Source organism: Homo sapiens, chromosome Y (assembly GCF_000001405.40).
Source record: "Homo sapiens chromosome Y, GRCh38.p14 Primary Assembly".
Classification (NCBI taxonomy): domain Eukaryota; kingdom Metazoa; phylum Chordata; class Mammalia; order Primates; family Hominidae; genus Homo; species Homo sapiens.
This window is the reverse complement of record NC_000024.10, coordinates 1,867,398-1,887,201: the sequence shown is the minus strand read 5'-3', so window position 1 is coordinate 1,887,201 and position 19,804 is coordinate 1,867,398. Positions and strand designations below refer to the sequence as shown.

At 45.4% G+C, this 19,804-nt stretch overlaps 1 long non-coding RNA gene across 1 annotated transcript; it reads left to right on the top strand.

Annotated features, from left to right (window-relative positions):
- The first annotated feature begins 1,374 nt into the window (after nucleotides 1-1,374).
- On the top strand, nucleotides 1,375-7,687 carry LOC107985677 (uncharacterized). The gene is made up of 6 exons (XR_007068481.1): nucleotides 1,375-1,713; nucleotides 2,090-2,689; nucleotides 3,090-3,405; nucleotides 4,737-4,863; nucleotides 5,353-5,466; nucleotides 6,629-7,687. It is a non-coding gene; the product is annotated as an uncharacterized LOC107985677 (long non-coding RNA).

The following is a 19,804-nucleotide window of genomic DNA, read 5'->3' as shown; positions in this document are numbered from 1 at the left end:
GTGGTGGGAGCCCATAGTCCCAGCTACTCGGGAGGCTGAGTCAGGAGAATCACTTGAACCCAGGAGGCAGAGGTTGCAGTGAGCAGAGATTGCACCACTGCACTCCAGCCTCGGTGACAGAGCGAGACTCCGCCTGAAAAAAAAAAAAAAAGTAAGCAGTGCTGCTGATTTCCACAATCAATATGACATTATTCTGACCCATGGGGAAACATGGCAGGAAACCTCATCCCGAAGCTTTTCCCAGGAACCACAGCCCTGAGCCATCTGAGAAGGACAGAGCCCTGGGAGGCAGGTACCTGAGGGTATCGTGCAAAGCAGCCCTGTTCAAAAGACCCGGATCCTGGGGACCAGGTAAGAACAGGTGTGTCCCAGAGCAGCCTCTGCCTCTCAACAATATCCAGCGTGCCAGGAGTCAGGGCCCCTGGGTGTCAGTGCGGACTCCTGTAACGTCAGTGACCTTCTAACCTCAAGCGGGTTACAGCCCATCCCTGGGTGTTAGCTTTTGGGGCTATGATGAGGGGACATGAGGAAGACTGTCTCAGGGGTCTCTGCATGCCTGCAGGGCTGGTTCCCTATAGATAGGTAATGGGCAATGGGGCCCTCACTGCTGGGCTGGGAGGAGAAGGGATTTATGGATATAACAACAAGGGACCGAGTGTCCTTGAAGCACAAATAGGACATTAAGAGGTGGTGGGAAGAGCGAGTGTCTCTCTAGCTTCAACCCTCTTCCTGTTTGCCCCGAGAATACTCACGGGCTGTACTTGTGGCAGCAGCATTTACTCTGAGATAACACTGCCACACGTATCTTTTGTTTTTTTTGAGATGGATCCTCGCTCTGTCACCCAGGCTGGAGTGCAATGGTTGTGATCTCGGCTCACTGCAACCTCCGCCTCCTGGGTTCAAGCAATTCACCTGCCTCAGCCTTCCGAGTAGCTGGGATTACAGGCGCCCGCCACCACGTCGGGCTAATTTTTGTATTTTTAGTAGAGATGGGGTTTCACCGTCTTGGCCAGGCTGGTCTTGAACTCCTGACCTCAGGTGATCCGTCCACCTCGGCTTCCCAAAGTGCTGGGATGACCACCGTGCTCAGCCTCAGTATCTCATTTTTATGATTATTTTCTCATCATTCTAATATGTCAACTTTGGAAACGGAAGACGTCATCCTATTTATACCATTCTGTCTTAATAGTGGTATTTCCATTTGAAATATAATCATTCTCGATCGCTGAAAATGTCGAATCCTAGAAAACATATCATTGCCGCATGTGATATTAACATCGTTCTACAACAGTTGTTGGCTGAAGGTTTGTTGGATGAATCCAATTTTTCCAAACCAGATGAGTCTGATGATTCAGGCGATTCTGATGTAACGTCTTTTTAGAAATAAATCCTAGAGCAGGTTTTATATTTTACGTTCATGTTGAAAATCAGTTAGATTTATGATGGAACATGTTTATGTAAAATTAAATGCGTGCTGGCCGAGAGACCTCAGTTTATTTTTCTAAATGAGAAACATCTCCAACTCACCTTCTCTCTCTAGGGTGCCTGTGTGATACCAGATGATGCTCAAGGCCCCCTGAGTCTCTTCCCCAATTTTAAGCCTGTCCCCAGCCCAGAGGTGTTGACGCCCTTTGCCATCATCTACCTTCTCAGCCTGTGGACGCACTTGGCTCACTCTTGCGTTCTGAGGACCTCCATGGTGCCTGATACACAGTAGGTGCCTAATCACTGTTTTCTGGAATGCTTCCATGAGCTCACCCCAGGCAGAGCAGGGCTCTGCCTTCCGCGGAGCTGCCTTCCCCAGCTCTGCGCTGGGCTCCAGGGCAAAGCAAATGGGTACACGAATTTGCAAATTTGCATTTCTGCATCTCCACCGTTCCATCGCCCCCGGAGTCTGACTCACACTTCTGCCGTATTCTCTTTCTCCGATCGTCTCCCTCATGCCTTTATTAGTCCACAGCAGTGTGCAGCAGGCTGCTGGATGCTGAAGAGATAAAGGATCGTGGCAAACAGAAGGGGTGCAAATCCTGAGTCCCAGTACCTACGAGTGAAACCCTGTTTGGAAACAATTTTTTTTTTTTTTTTGCAGGTGAAACTAACTTAAGATGAGATCATCCTGGATTAGGGTGGGTCCTAAATACAACGACAGATGTCCTTCTAAAAGACAGAAGAGGAGACACAGAGGATGAGGCCACATGGAGACGGAGGCAGAGACTGGAGTGATGCGGCCACAAGCCCAGGGATGCCTGGAGCCCCCAGGAGCTGGGAGAGGCAGGAAGGACCCTCCCCTAGAGCCTCTAGAGAAGGCTAAATGAAATTGTAATGAATTCAACTATTGTCCACCAGAAAGATATGTCCACACCCTCACCCCCAGAACTTGTGAATGGGAGCTTACTTTGAAATAAGATCCTTGCAGATGCAAGTAGTAAAATATTTTAAGATGAGATCATCCTGCATTAGATGGACCATGAATCCAATCATTGCTGTCTCTATAACAGACAGAGGAGGAGAACAGACACAGAGGGTAAGGCCGCATGGAGATGGAGGCAGAGACTGGAGTGATGTGGCCACAAGCACAGGGACACCTGGAGCCCCCAGGAGCTGGGAGAGGCAGGAAGGACCCTCCCTGAGAGCCTCTGGAGGGAACTGGATACAAGTGAAGTAGATTGAACTGTGATCCCCCAAAAAGGTATGTCCATGTCCTGATCCTCAGAATCTGTGACTGAGACCTTATTTGAAAAAGGGGTGTTTGCAGATGTAACTAAATAAAGGACCTTAAGATGAGATCATCCTGAATTATCTGTGTGGTCCCTAAATCAATGACAGATGTCCTTCTAAGAGACAGAAAGGAGACAGACACAGAGGAGAAGGCCATGTGGAGACAGAGGCAGAGACTAAAGTGACGCACCCACAAGCCCAGGGACACCTGGAGCCCCCAGGAGCTGGCAGAGGCAGAAAGGACCCTCCCCTAGAGTCTCTGGAGGGAGCATGTCCTTGAGATACCTTGATCTGAGACTACCAGCTTCCAGGACTGGGAGAGCATAGATTCTTGTAGTGTTAGCCACCGAATTTATGGCATTTTTTTGCAGGAACCCCAGGAAGCTCCTGAAGCAATCCGCCCTTCCATCTCTGTGTCTGGCAGACACTACTGTGTGATTCCAGCGGGACAGCACCCACCGCACTCACCTTCATTGCTCAGGGGGAAGGAACAGTCAGTCAGCTGTGAGTCACCAGAAGCCAAGAGCTTTCTCAATTTAGTTGTATCAGCTCTTCCCGGCAGCGTGTGGATTTCCTGCAAAAGTGGCCTCATGATTTACTTAGGGAAACAGCTCCAAGGATGGGAGACGGCTGCTCTCCACAATTTCCCTCCTGCAGCTAGGAAGGAAGTCAGGACTGTTCTGTGGGGTAAGTGAGATCAATAGCGTGCTTTCTTTTGTTTTGAGATGGAATCTCGCTCTGTCACCCAGGCTGGAGTGCAGTGGCTCCATCTTGGGTCACTGCAATCTTCACCTCCTGGGTTCAAGCGATTCTCCTGCCTCAGCCTTTTGAGTAGCTGGGATCACAGGTGTACTGATGATTAATAAAGAAAAATAGAATTAAATTGATGATGCTGAGAAGATATTTTTAAAAAAGACTGATTGTATTCTGTTTACATGATATGCATGTAAAACAAAATCACACAAACTAATTAAAAACAAAACAAGAGGCCAGGCACGGTGGCTCACGCCTGGAATCCCAGTACTTTGAGAGGCCGAGGTGGACAGATCACCTGAGATCAGGAGATCGAGACCATCCTGGCCAACATGGTGAAACCCCGTCTCTACTAAAAATACAAAAATTAGCCAGGCATGGTGGTGGGTGCCTGTAATCCCAGCTACTCGGGAGGCTGAGGCAGGAGAATTGCTTGAACCCGGGAGGCGAAGGTTGCAGTGAGCTGAGATTGCACCACTGCACTCCAGCCTGGGTGACAGAGCGAGACTCTCTCTCAAAAAAAAAAAAAAAAAGAAAAGAAATGGAAATATCGGGCAAGAACTAGTCAACATCCTGCCAATGAAGTAACATTCGTGTGTGGTGCAAGAGTGTTTAGGGAGAAAAGCTTGCAACAATGTATTCTACAACAGTAAAAGTAAAACTGTTTGAGGATGATGTAAGAGGTCAGTGTTCAATTCCCTGTACCATCATTAAACAGAAATGTGTGAAGAACCACAGAATCAACCAGGTCAACTTGTTCAACGTATTGAGATTGCAAATATATTATGGAGTAAAAATAATTCAAGTTGCGAAATACTCCATATGATACAATTTATCTACAAAACTTACAAAAGCAATCTATGTTGCTATAAGCACTTATTAATAATTATATATGTTATATATGTCTCACATGTACAGAAAAATATATACAGACGTATAGAGTTAGTAATATGTATTTGTAGACACACATATCATATGCGCAGTTTGAGTGTATACACATCTATGTGTACAAACTGTGTGTGTACACACGCACACACATGCACACACATCTCAAAATAGCATTTCCTACTGAATGACGACATTGTCTGGTGACAAAAAAAGAGGTGCTTAACTTTATATAATATTACACATTTCAAAGTTGGATATGTTCACAAATTACTTACATAAATAATAATATTACAGAATAAACAATTCCCTAATAATTATTATATTTTTTTGAGACAAAAAAATTAGCCAGCTGTGGTAGTGCATGCCTGTAATTCCAGCTACTCGGGCGGCTGAGGCAGGAGAATGGCTTGAACCCGGGAGGCAGAGGTTGCAGTGAGCCAGGATGGCGCCACCGTACTCCAGCCTGGGCAACAAGAGGGAAACTCCACCTCAAAAAAAAAAAAGGTAAAGGCACAAACAACAGTCAATGGAATATATTCGGACAAGTATCCTCTCAAAAATCAACACCATGCTGAGGTCACATTTTTGTGATTTGTATTTGAATTGGAAAACAGTGACTACATCCTTTTAGCCCAAATCATGCTGAAAGCAGTATTTACAACTTACTGCACACAGTGTTGCTAACCAAATACCATACTGAACACTAAATCAATCGTTAGTCACGATGCTGAACTAACTGTAATGGATAACAAGTAATCGGGATGCCATAATTGCATCTATCCCGACTATGTACGAAACCCACAACGCCCTGATAACAGCCCCTTTTCCCCAAACTGTGGGAATTTCAGTTGCTTTCAGATCCAGCTGAACTTCATGAGATTCGCCAAGCAGTGCTTTGGAGCAGGAGTTGTTAGTAAAATAACAAGTAGGGATCTTTAGGAAAACTCTAAAAATTTGCTCATTTACACTCTGTGGATTGTATTTTCACAACAGGCTACTAGGAAACAGCCCTTAATCCGAAGTGGAATCTAACATCTGGGAAATCAGCCGTATTTGCCTGTGAGAAAGAAAGGGAGAAGCCATATTTACATCAGCCCATGGTCCAAGGTCAGACAAGAGTCCCTTGCTTCTCTATGAAGCCTCAAATTTTCTCTTTCTTTTTATTTCTCTGTTTCTTTCGCCATCCCTTCCTTCCCTTCCCTTCCCTCCTTGCCTCCCTTCCTTCCTTCCTTCCTTCATTCCTTCATTCCTTCCTTCCTTCTCTCGCTCCTTCCTTCCTTCTCTTGCTCTGTCCTTCCTTCCTTCTCTCGCTCCTTCCTTCCTTCTCTCGCTCCTTCCTTCCTTCTCTTGCTCTGTCCTTCCTTCCTTCTCTCGCTCCTTCCTTCCTTCTCTCGCTCCTTCCTTCCTTCTCTTGCTCTGTCCTTCCTTCCTTCTCTCGCTCCTTCCTTCCTTCTCTTGCTCTGTCCTTCCTTCCTTCTCTCGCTCCTTCCTTCCTTCTCTCGCTCCTTCCTTCCTTCCTTCCCTCCCTTCCTCCTTCCCTCCCTCCCTCCTTCACTCCTTCTTTCCTTCCTTCCTTCCTCTTATTTTCCTTCTTTCCTTCCTTCCTTTTATGTTTCCTCTTTTCCTTCCTTCCCTCTTTTTCTTTTCCTTCTTTCCTTCCTTCCTTTTATGTTTCCTCTCTTCCTTCCTTCCCTCTTTTCCTTTTCTTTCCTTCCTTCCTTTTCTTTTCCTTCCTCTTTTGCTTTTCCTTCTTTCCTTCCTTCCTTTTTTGTTTCCTCTTTTCCTTCCTTCTTTCCTTTTCTCTTTTTCTTTACCTTCCTTCCTTTTTTCTTTTGTCTCTTCCTTCCTTCTTTCCTTCTTTCCTTCCTTCTTTCCCTCCTTCCCTCCTTCCCTCCTTCCTTTCTTTCTTTTCTTTTCTCTTTCTTTCTTTCTTGCTTTCTTTCTTTCTTTCCTTCCTTCTTTCTTCTTTTTCTTTCTTTTTCCCTTCTTTCTTTCTGTTTCTTTCGCTCCTCCCCCATCCTCCTCCTTCCCTCCCTACCCCCTCTTTCACTCTTGCTTGCTTTCTTTCTTGCTTGCTTTCTGAGACCTCTTTCCACATGTGATGAAAGCTCAGAACCCTCCATCTAGACATGGTGCAGACATACTCATACGTGCAAAGTTTTGCACCTAATTTCAGATGATTCATGAGGCCCCCAGCCCCTTTCCTGGACCCTATATTCCAGAATAAAATTTACCTTCTACCTTTCACACAATTTCTTCCGTGACCTAGGAATTCGACAGCGAAGACCCAAGATACTTCCAAGAGAAAGGCACGGTCCATTGAAGATTCTTTACAACCTCGGAAAGGTAAAGAGAGTCTTTATTTATTGAAGATGAAGATCCCTGAGTATTATTTTTTATGGCACCTCCGTGGGCTATGATGGATGACCCTGAGGGTCTCTCCAGCCCTGAAGTGAGACGGATTTTTCTACTGAACCACGGCAACACTGAATAGGAGGTTGTCTCTTACCTCTGTCTGTTGATTTTCACTGTTTCCTTTCTCTTTGTGTTTTAAAATTTTTATCTTTTGTGGGTACATGGTAGGTGTATATATTTATGTATATGTTGTGTGGATATATAGTAGGTGTATATATTTAGGGTGCGTGAGATTTTATTATTATTATTATTATGCTTTAAGTTCTGGGGTACATGGGCAAAACGTGCAGGTTTGTTACACAGGTATACATGTGCCATGGTGGTTTGCTGCACCCATCAACCTGTCATCTACATTAGGTATTTCTCCTAATGCTCTCCCTCCCCTATCCCCCCACCCCCCGGCAGGCCCTGGTGTGTGATGTTCCCCTCCCTGTGTCCATGTGTTCTCATTGTTCAACTCCCATTTTTCACACCCAGACTGGGTGTGTCTGCGAGGGTGTTTTGGGAAGAGATGAGCATTTCAATAGGTAGACTGAGTAAAGACCACCCTCACCAATGGGGATGGGTACTGTCCTCTCCACTGAGGGATTTGCAGAGAATGAAAATGCAGATGAAGGGAGACTATATTCTCTTTTCCTTACCTGGAACCGGGACCTCCAGCTTCTCATGCTCTTGGACATTGGTGCTCCCAGTGTTTGGGCCTTGACCTCCGTTTTTGTATACATCAGATATCACACACAGTCAACATGGCATAATTCATGTTCAATGCACCGTGCAGAGAGGATGTTTTGATACAAGCATGCAATGCTTCATAATCACATCATGGAGAATGGAGCTTGCATGCCCTCAAGCATTTATCCTTTGTGTTACAAACAATCCAATTATACTCTAATATGATTTGGCTGTGTCCCTACTCAAATCTCATCTTGAATTGTATCTCCCATGATTCCCATGTATTGTGGTGTCCCCAACCAAATCTCATCTTGAATTGTATCTCCCATGATTCCCATGTATTGTGGTGTCCCCAACCAAATCTCATCTTGAATTGTATCTCCCATGATTCCCATGTATTGTGGTGTCCCCAACCAAATCTCATCTTGAATTGCATCTCCCATGATTCCCATGTGTTGTGGTGTCCCCACCCAAATCTCATCTTGAATTGTAGCTCCCATGATTCCCATGTGTTGTGGGAGGGACTGGGTGGGAGATAAATGAATCATGGGGCTGGTTTCCCCCAGACTGTCCTGGAGGTCGTGAATAAGTCTCATGAGATCTGATGGTTTTATCAGGGGAAACTGCTTTCACTGGGCTCTCATTGTCTTCTGCCTGCCACCGTGTAAGATGTGCCTTTCTCCTTCCACCATGACTGTGAGGCCTCCTCAGCCATGTGGAACTGTGAGTCCATGGAACCTCATTTTCTTTATAAATTTCCCAGTCTCGGGTATGTCTCTTTTTTTAAATAAATTACCCAATCTAGGGTATGCTTTTTTTTTTTTTTTTTTTTTTTTTTTTGAGACCAAGTCTTACTCTGTTGCCCAGCCTGGACTGCAGTGGTGCAATCTCAGCTCACTGCCACCTCTGCCACCCATGTTCAAGTGATTCTCCAGCCTCAGCCTCCTGATTAGCTGGGATAACAGGCATGGGCCACCACGCCTGGCTAAGTTTTGTATTTTTAGTAGAGATGGGGTTTCACCATGTTGGCCAGGCTGGTCTCAAACTCCTGACCTCAGGTGATCTGCCCACCTCAGCCTCCCAAGGTGCTGGGATTACAGGCGTGAGCCACCGCACCCGGCTTTGGGTATGTCTTTATCAGCAGCATGAAAACGGACTAATACATACTCTTTTAGTTATCTTAAAATGTGCAATTAAATTATTTTGACGATAGTCACCCTGTTGTACTATCGAATACTAGGTATGAATAATTACATCATGGAGAATGGAATTCTTTTTCTATTTTATTTTATCTTTTTCTATTTTCTTTTCGATGAAATGAAGCCTCAGATGAGTGTCCGACTGTGATAAGCTCTTCCGTGCCATTTTCAAACTCTCTTGTCCTGTCTTTCACTCTTTAGGCAACATGTTCTCTTCTTTGTTTTCAAACTACACTCTCAATACTGTCAAACCAGGAAAAAAAAGAGAAAAGCATCTTTTAGTGAACAATTGGGTGAATTTGGGTAATTTAGCCACCCATACCAGGTGGCATTATTCATATTCAGAACACTATTTTTTTTTTTAGATGGAGTCTCACTCTGTTGCCCAGGCTGGAGTGCAGTGGCGCCTTCTTGGCTTACTGCAACCTCTGCCTCCCAGGTTCAAGCAAAACACGATTTTTTTTTTTTTTTTTGTATAGAAGAAATGTCACACTCACATTGCATCTTTGAGCCAACCTGCATTTTCTCCTCTGCAAGACTGACCTCCGGAGAAAAAGGGAAGTGCAGATATAAGTGGTGTTCACCTGAACAGAATTAGGGGCAGCTAATCCCGACCTCACATCTATTGTCACCGTTACACAAATCAAAACAGAAGCGAGAGGAATGTGACAAACAGAGCATGGAGGAGAAGAACCCTGGCTGGAGAAGCAAAGGGCAGATTCAGTGAATGAGACTGACAGAAGAAAAGCCGAGGATGAAATGAAAGACTCCAGGGTGGCAGCTATGGAAAAAAAAAAAAAAAATACAGACAGAGGGCACTGAGAAACAGAAACAAAGAAGAAAGGGAGAAAATTAAAGTTTATTTGTAAAAGTGTGTTTACTGGCCGGGCGCAGTGGCCCACGCCTGTCATCCCAGAACTTTGGGAGGCTGAGGCGGGTGGATCACAAGGTCAAGAGATCGAAACCAGCCTGGACAACATGGTAAAACCCCATCTCTACTAAAAATGCAAAAATTAGTCAGGCATGGTGGCGTGCGCCTGTAATCCCAGCTACTCAGGAGGCTGACGCAGGAGAATCACTTGAGCTCGGGAGGCGGAGGTTGCAGTGAGCCGAGATCGCGCCACTGCACCCCAGCCTGGCAAAAAAGCGAGACTCCTTCTAAAAAAAAAAAAGTGTGTTTACTATTTCTTCCTGGGGCAAAGGATGCTTGGCGATGTGGGAGCTTCCTGAATATGAAGACAGGGATGTACAGTTTGCAGATACCTGTAGCTATGACTGTTAACATGTCTAGTGAAACGGCTCAGGTTAGCACGGTGATGATATAAGCTTCACCGTGAGCCCACAAGGTGGCATGTTGTATGGGGCCCAGGCCTGCCTTTAGGAGACTGTATTTGTCAGTTCTCAGCCTGTTATAAAGAAATACCTGGCCGGGCGCGGTGGCTCACACCTGTAATCCCAGCACTTTGGGAGGTCAAGGCGGGTGGATCACCTGAGGTCAGGAGTTCGAGACCAGCCTGTCCAACATGGTGAAGCCCTGTCTCTACTAAAAATATAAAAATTAGCTGAGCATGGTCACAGATGCCTGTAATCCCAGCTACTCAGGAGGCTGAGGCAGGAGAATTGCTTGAACCCAGCAGGTGGAGGTTGCAGTGAGCTGAGATAGCACCACTGCACTCCACTCTGGTCAACAAAGAGCGAAACTCCGTCTCAAAAAAAAAAAAATTTCCACAAAAAAATGTTAAAATTAGTGGGGCATGGTAGTGCATGACAGCAGTCCTAGTTACTCAGGAGGCTGAGATAGGAGGATTACTTGAATCTGCAAGGTTGAGGCTGCAGTGGGCTGTGATTGTAGCACTGCACTCCAGCCCGGGTGACAGAATGAAGTCTTGTCTCAAAACAACAACATAAACAAAAACAGAAATAAGGACAGAGGGCCGGATGTGGTGGCTCACGCCTGTAATCCCAGCACTTTGGGAGGCCGATGCCTGCGGATCACCTGAGGTCAGGCGTTCAAGACCAGCCTGACCAACATGGTGAAACCTCGTCTCTACTAAAAAATACAAAAATTAGCTAGGCATGGTGGTGCATGCCTGTACTACCCTCCAGCTACTCAGGAGGCTATGGTGGGAGAATTGCTTGAACCTGGGAGGGAGAGGTTGCAGTGAGCCGAGATCATACCACTGCATTTCAGCCTGGACGACAGAGCAAGACTCGGTTTCAAAAAAGACATAAGGGCAGAGTTTGCATCTACTGTGAGAAGGGTAATTAGGCCAGTTACTAACAGGTATTCTGCTTTTTAATTAATTAAGTAATTAATTGACTAATAATTAGTTGAATTAATTAATTGACTAATTTATTGAGATTCCAGCTCTGTCGCCCAGGCTGAAGTACAGTGGCGCGATCTCAGCTCACTGCAGCCTCTGCCTCCTGGGTTCCAGCAATTATCATGTCTCAGCCTCTCAAGTAGCTGGGATTACAGGAGCGCCCCACCATGCCTGGCTAATTTTTGTATTTTTAGTGGAGACAACGTTTGACCGTGTTGGCCAGGCTGGTCTCGAACTCCTGACCTCAGGTTACCCACCTGCCACGGCTTCTGAAAGTGCCGGGATAACAGGCGTGGGCCGTGATGGCTGGCCAGTAGCTGTTCTGCTTTGAAAAGGAGAGTGAGGATTCACTTAATGAGAATTTTCACTGGTGCAAGAATGAAACAGGAAAAACAAAGAAATAAACAGACAAAAACGGGAGCTAGGGTTGACCTTAAAGCAAGCAGAAAAACAGAAACACACGTGATACAGGTGTGCCAATGACGTGCCTGGAGATTTATGTCAAAGGGAGAGAAAATACAAAAAGAGCTAAAGGCCAGGTGCCATGGCTCACGCCTGTAATCCCAGTACTTTGGGAGGCACGAGGTTGGGAGTTGGAGACCAGCCTGGCCAACATGGTGAAACCCCGTCTCTACTAAAGATACAAAAAATTAGCTGGGCGCGGTGGTGGACGCCTGTAATCCCAGGTACTCTGGAGGCTGAGGCAGGAGAATCGCTTGAACCTGGGAGGCGGAGGTTGCAGTGAGCCGAGATGACACCACTGCACTCCAGCCTGGGCAACAAGAGTGAAACTCCGTCTCAAAAAAACAAACAAACAACAACAACAACAAAATCTGAGAGGTTTTTAATGGTGGTAAAATACACAAAACACACAATTTACCATTTTAACCATTTTATACTGAACAATTCAGTGGCATTTACTGCGTTCATGATGTTGTGGGATCACCCCCTGTATCCAGTTCCACAACATTTCTGGCACCCCCAGAGGAGAACCCATTCCCATTTGCAGGCACCCCCCTTCCCCTCACCCCTCAGCCCCTGGAAATGACCCAAATGTCCAACAGTGGATGACTGGATACTCACAATGTGGTTTATCTGTACCGTGGAATATTATGCAGCCATGAAAAGGAATCGAGCTCTGATATGTGATTCAGCCCAGATAAGCATCGTTCCATTTCACTCTGCAGGTCACAGGGCAGGTTAAAGAAACACGTTGTTGTTAGATGACAATAAAAGGGATACTCGGCCGAGCACGGTGGCTCATGCTCGTAATCCCAGCACTTTGGGAGGCTGAGGCAGGCCGATCACAAGGTCAACAGATGGAGACCATCCTGGCCAACACTGTGAAACCCTGTGTCTACTAAAAATACAAACACAAAAAAATTAGCTGGGCATGGTGGCATGCACCTGTAATCCCATCTACTCAGGAGGCTGAGGCAGGAGGATCTCTTGAACCCCAAAGGCAGAGGTTGTAGTGAGCCAAGATTGCACCACTGCACTCCAGGCTGGTGACAGAGCCAGACTCATCGCAAAAAAAAAAAAAAAAAAAAAAAAAAAGATACTTGTGATTACAAAGGATAACTAACTATAGACAGTGTTTGTAGGCATTCAGCTAAGCACCTGTTGCATGCATCCTTCCAGGTATTATCTCTTAATTCTTACAGCAAACTTTGCAGGTGTACGCTACCATCATCCCGGCCAGCCCACGGCCACGTTGTCACCAACAACTGACTTCACCTGCAAGCAGGCCCCTCCCAGATGCATCAGAATCTCAACCCTGAATTCTTAAAAGCTGCACGACAGTGTCTCTCTCCCTGTGTCCTCACTTTGAGGAGACAAGACAGAGCTATGCAGAGAAGTGAACGGTGTTAGTGACGGACGGTTCTGGGTTTTGATCCCATCTCATTTCACGTTCCCTTTGCCGTGGGTATCTCAGTATCTCACAGCCTGATCTGCTGAGTTACCCTGACGTCGGTGGCTCAGAAAATAGAGAGAGATAAGAACAGAGATAAGAAAGTAAAAGGATGTAGAGAGATGGACCTAATAGAATTCAGAAGCTGCTCTCAAGAGGAGAATAAAGATTTGGGGATATGGATTGCCAGACAGTGCATAGTGTGGTGGTTTCTGTTGAGGGCTGGGTATGAGAGAAAAGTGGAGAGAAGGAGAGGAAGAGAGAGAGGGAAGAAGGGCCATGGAGAAGACAGAGGAGAGAGAGAAAAAAAAAGGAGAGAGGAAGAGAAACGGAGAGATGGAGAGTGGGGTAGAGAGGGTGGAAGAAAGAGAGAGGGTGAGAGGGGGAAGAGGGAGATTTTGAGAGAGAGAGAGAGGGAGAGGAGGGAAAAAGAGAGAGAGGAAACAGATACTGAGAAAGAGAGAGTCAGAAAGGAGAGGGAAAGAGAGAGAGAAAGGAGAGGGAAAGAGAGAGAGAAAGGAGACTGAGAAAGGAGAGGGAAAGAGAGAGAGAAAGGAGACTGAGAAAGGAGAGGGAAAGAGAGAGAGAAAGGAGACTGAGAAAGGAGAGAGAAAGGAGAGAGAGAGGGAGTGGGGGAAAGACAGAAGAGAAATACTGAGAGAGTGAAAAAGGAGAAGGAAAGAGAGACAAAGAGGGAGAAAAGAGGGGCTGGGCGTGGAGGCTCACACCTGTAATCCTATCACTTTGGGAGGCCGAGGTGGGAGGATTGCTTGAGGTCAGGAGTTCGAGACCAGCCTGGTCAACATGGCAAAACCCCATCTCTACTAAAAATACAAAAATTAGCTGGGCGTGGTGGCTCGCACCTGTAATCCCAGCTACTCGGGAGACTGAGATAGGAGAATCACTTGAACCCGGGAGGCAGAGGTTTCAGTGAACTGAGATTGCACCACGGCATTCCGCTCTGAGTGGCAGAGTGAGACTCCATCTCGTGATCTCACGGAGGCAGAAAATGGAAGGTTACACCTATATCGATTGTTTCACCAGCTTCTGTGAATTGAGCTGGGCCGAATCATCAAATTGAGGTTAAAACAGTCTCGTACTCACAATATACAAAGAACTGAAACAGCTACAACAACAAACAACACTATTAAGATGTGGGCAGGCCGGGCGCGGTGGTTCACAACTGTAATCCCAGCTCTTTAGGAGGCCAAGGCGGGCAGATCCTGAGGTCAGGAGATCGAGACCATCCTGACCAACATGGTGAAACCTCATCTTTACTAAAACACAAAAAAATTATCCAGGTGTGGTGGCTCATGCCTGTAGTTCCAGCTTCTTGGGAGGCAGAGGCAGGAGAATTGCTTGAACCCGGGAGGAGGAGGTTGCAGTGAGCCAAGATCGCGCCACTGCGCTCCAGCCTGGGCAACAGGGCCAGACTCTGTCTTAAAAAAAAAAAAAAAAAAATTTTGCCGGATGTGCTGGTACATGCCTGGTAGTCCCAGCTACTCAAGAGGCTGAAGTGGAAGGATTGCTTGAGTGCAGGAGTTTGAGGCTGCAGTTAGCTGTGATCACACCACCGCACTCCAGCCTGGGTGACAGAGGTAGACCCTATCACAAATAAACAAACAAACAAACGAATGAATGAAAGGGCAGATGTGAAAAAATCACATCTCCTCTGAAGACAGGACGTTGAAGCAGTCAGACTATATTTACCGTTTATATTTCCATTCACCTTTAAGGATATCAAATTCAAAGCCAGTTCTCCCCTACAAATATTCATGACAGGCTGGGCACAGTGTTTCACGCCTGTCATTCCAGCACTTTGGGAGGCCGAGGTGGGCGGATCACCTGAGGTCGGGACTTAGAGACCAGCCTGACCAACATGGAGAAATCCCATCTCTACTAAAAATACAATTAGCCAGGTGTGGTGGCGCATGCCTGTAATCCCAGCTACTCAGGCAGCTGAGGCAGGAGAATCGCTTGAACCCGGGAGGCGGAGGTTGCACTGAGCCAACATCACACCACTGCACTCCAGCCTGGGCAACAAGAGTGAAACTCCATCTCAAAAAAAAAAAAAAATATTCATGACGATGTCTGCAAAAATACAGAGATACATACCTTTGGCTGTGACATTGTCTATAAGGACAAATGTCTGAGACTAGCAGGGCACCCATCTACAAGGAATGGGTTAAATATTACACAGTACATTTATGTAACGGAATAGTATGCAGTCAAGAAAAAGGAAAAGAACTACGCATTTCCGTATACAAAACCATGAAGCAATCTTCAGTGCATTGGAAATGAAAAACAAGCTGTAGAATGATGGGTGCAGGATGTCCATGTTTTCCTTTTAAATATATATATGCTTGTAAATGAATAGAGCATCATAGGAAAGATAAGACTTTGGAAAATGAGGCCCTGGCCAGGCGCAGTGGCTCAGGCCTGTAATCCCGGCACTTTGAGAGGCTGAGGCAAGCAGATCACGAGGTCAGGAGTTCGAGACCGGCCTGGCCAATATGGTGAAACCCTGTCTCTACTAAAAATACAAAAATTAGCCGGGCATTGTGGCAGGTGCCTGTAGTCCCAGCTACGCGGGAGGCTGAGGCAGGAGAATCTCTTGAACCCGGGAGGCGGAGGTTGCGGTGACCCAAGATCGTGCCACTGCACTCCAGCCTGGGTGACAGAGCCAGACTCTGCCTGAGAAAAAAGAAAAAGAAAAATGTGTGCATTTTCAAAATACATGAATAGATATGTCTATTTTCACAGTTAGGGTGACCTCACGGAGGCAGAAAATGGAAAGTTACACCCGTGTCGACTGTTTCACCAGCTTCTGTGAATTGAGCCGGGACGAATCATCACGTTGAGGTTAAAACAGTCTCCTACTCACAATATACAAAGAACTGAAACAGCAACAACAACAACAAACAAATAACACTATTAAGATGTGGGCAGGCCGGGCGCGGTGGCTCACAACTGTAATCCCAGCACTTTGAGAGGCCAAGGCGGGCAGATCCTGAGTTCAGGAGATCAAGACCATCCTGACCAACATGGTGAAACCCCATCTTTACTAAAACACAAAAAATTATCCAGGTGTGGTGGCTCGTGCCTATAGTTCCTGCTATTTGGGAGGCTGAGGCAGGGGAATCGCTTGAACCCAGGAAGTGGAGGTTGCAGTGAGCCAAGATGGAGCCACTGCACTCCAGCCTGGAGATAGAGCAAGACTCTGTCTCAAAAAAAAAAAAAAAAAGCAAAAAGAAAGTTACATTGGTTTTTAATCTACCATCCGTTTTTGTGGGTGACAGAAACATGATTTGTTTGCAGCGGAGTGGGGCTCCCTTCTTTGTTCCTGATCTCAGAGGAAAGATCTTGGTCAGTCTTCCATCCTATGAGTTACAGTTAGCTGTGGGTTTTCTGTCGATCCCACTATAGGGTTAAGCAGACTTGGCTCAGCATTTTTATTTCCAAGTTGATTTTCATTTTTGTCAAGTACTTCTGCTGCATGTTTTGAAAAGATTGTACACATTTTTCTCTTTAGTGGCTTGATTGAGCTAATTACATTGATTTTTCGATGTTAAAAAACAGCCCTTCTTGTGTTCATAAAATAAACCTCACAGGGTCATGGTGCCATATATCCAGACGGTGTTTTCCTTGATTTGTTGATACGCTGTTGAGAATTTCTGCTTCTGGGTGAATGACGAATATCTGTCTGTGGTTTTCTTGTCTGACATTTTTCCTCTTTATGTTGGTATTGTGGTAACAATGTTGGCTTCATACAATGGGTTGGAAAATGCTGTGTTCTTCTATTTTAGGAAGTGTTTGGGTAAAATTAGGTATCTTCCTCCAATAACTGTTTAATGGAATTGGCCAGTGAAGACCTCTGCAGAGTTTTCTGTGTTGGAAGGTGTTAACTAAGAATTCATTTATTTGGGCGGGCATGGTGGCTCTTGCCTGTCATCCCAGCACTTTGGGAGGCCAAGGCAGGTGAATCACGAGGTCAAGAGATCGAGACCATCCTGGCCAACATGGTGAAACCCCATCTTTACTAAAATACAAAAATTAATTGGGTGTGGTGGTGTGTGCCTGTAGTTTCAGCTATTTGGGAGGCTGAGGCAGGAGAATTGCTTGAACCCAGGAGGCGGAGGTTGCAGTGAGCTGAGATCATACCACAGCACTCCAGCCTAGCGACAGGGCGAGATTCAGTCTCAAAATAATTTTTTTTTTTTTGGTAGACATAGAACTATTCAGGTTATCGGTTTCTTCTTGAGTTAGGTTTGGTAGTGTGTGTCTCTCTAGGACTTTGCCTTTACATCAATGCTACCAATTTTATGTGCATAAAATCATTTGTAGTATCCTTTCATTATCCTTTTAGTATCAATAGGGGCTACAGGGATGTCCCTCTTGCATCCCTGATACTAGTGACGTTTATGGTTTATTTTTATGTTTTTCTTTCTGGTGAAAGCTCCATCCATATGTTTGATCCCTTCCATGAATCTGATTTTAGATTTATTCATTTTTTCATATTTTTTTTTCTGTTTCTAATTATATCTTTATTATTTCTTTTCTTCTGCCTGACTTGGCTAAACTTTTCTCTTCTTTTAATAATTTTTTTAAGGATAGGACATCAGATAATTGATTGCAGACATTTTTCTAAAAAAAAAGTAAGCATATTATCTAATAAGTATTAGAATATATTATAGAATATAAGCATTATATTATGTATATGCAATAAATTTTTTCAAAGTACTCCTGTACCTGTTTTTTTTTTTTTTTTTGAGATGGAGTTATGCTCTGTCGCCCAGGCTGGAGTGCAGTGGCTTGATCTCAACTCACTGCAACCTCTGCCTCTTGACTCACTGCAACCTCCACCTCCCGGGTTCAAGCGATTCTCCTGCCTCAGCTTCCCAAGTAGCTGGGACTACAGGCACCAAGCACCACGCCCTGCTAATTTTTGTATTTTTAATAGAGATAGGGTTTCACCATGTTGGCCAGGCTGGTGTCAAACTCCTCACCTAAAATGATCCACCGCCTCTTTGGCCTCCTGAAGTGCTGGGATTACAGGTATGAGCCACCGCGCCAGGCCCCATGTTTCTCGATTTTTGATACATTGATAATTTCATTTTCATTCAATTAAAAGTATTTCAAAATTTCCCTTCTTGCTTCTCCTCTGACCCATGAGTCATTTAGCTGATAACTTTTTAGTGTCCAAATATGTGGGCATTTTCCAGATATCTTCCTGCTGTTGATTAATGGTTTCATTATTTATAGGACTGTAGCAAGTATTATTTTAATTGTTTTAAATTCGTTAAGGTTTGTTTTACAGCTTAGAATATGTTGTATCTCTGTGGCATTCGCTGGGTACTTAAACTTCGTGCATTTTCTGCTGTCGCTTGGTGGAATGTTCTAGAAATGTCCATTGAGTCATTGATTGATTGGTTGATTGATAGTATTATTATTATTATTATTATTTTGAGACAGAGCCTCTCTCTGTCCCCCAGGCTGGAGTCCAGTGGTATGACCTCAGCCCACCACAACCTCCACCTCCCAGGTTCAAACGATTCTCGTGCCTCAGTCTCCCGAGTAGCTGGGATTACAGGTGCCCGCCAGTACGACCAGCTAATTTTTAGTAGAGAGGGGATTTCACCAGATTGGCCAGGTGGGTCTCGAACTCCTGGCCTCGAGTGATCCACCCGCCTCCGCCTCCTAAAGTGCTGGGATTACAGGTGTGAGTCACCATGCACAGGTGATAGTACTATTATTACTACTACAATTATTATTTTCAGACAGGGCCTTGCTCTGTCGCCCAGGCTGGAGTGCAGTGCTGTGATCTCGGCTCACTGCAACCTCCACTTCCCAGGCTCAAGGATCCTCCCACCTCAGCCTCCCGAGTAGCTGGAACTATAGGTGTGCACCGCCATAGCCACCTAATTCTTGTATTTTTTGTAGAGATAGAGTTTTGCCATATTGCTCAGGCTGGTCTCAAACTCCTGGACTCAAGCCATCCACTTGCCTCGACCTTCCAGAGTGCTGGGATTCCAGGCATGAGCCACCGTGCTCGGCCTAATGATTGATTGTGTTATTAAAAAGTCTCTACTTGATGTATCAATTATTGAAAGAGGAATGTTCGTGTTCCCAACTCTCAGGCGACAGAGAGAGACCGTATCTCTAAAAAGAAATGAATTATGCATTCACCTATTTCTCCTCTCAATTCTGTATCTTCTTTCGCTTTATGTATTTCGAGGATTTGTTTTGCGTTGAATACATCATCAAAATCATTTTGTCTTCTTGGTGAATTGCCCCCTTTGTCATTAGATAATGTCCCATTTTACCAGTGGTAATTGTTATTCTTCTGAAGTGTACTTTGCCTGACGTTAACAGGATCTCTCCACTGCGTTTCCGTCTTTTCTTTCTTTCTTTTTTTTTCTTTTTTTTTTGAGATAGAGTCTTGCTCTGTCACCCAGGCTGAAGTGCAGAGGCACGATCTTGGCTCACTGCAACCTCCACCTCCCGGGTTCAAGTGATTCTCCTGCTTCAGCCTCCTGAGTAGCTGGGATTACAGGCACATGCTACCACACCTGGCTAACTTTTGTATTTTTAGTAGAGATGGGGTTTCACCATGTTGTCCAGGATGGTCTCGAACTCCTGATCTTGTGATCTGCCCACCTCGGCCTCCCAAAGTGCTGGGATTACAGGCATGAGCCACCACGCCCAGCCCCATATTTTCATATTGTTGTGGTAAACTGAGGAACGGAGAGACCAATACAGAGTATAGCAGGATTTGTTTATTTTAGGTACGCACCTGCTCACAGGACTCACATCCAAAAGCTGAGCCCTGAACAAAGACAGAGCGGGGTTTTCATAAGCGGCTTTACAGAAGCAAAATAAAAGCAGTTACTCCTACAGTGGCAGGTCACGTCATCTATAGCATC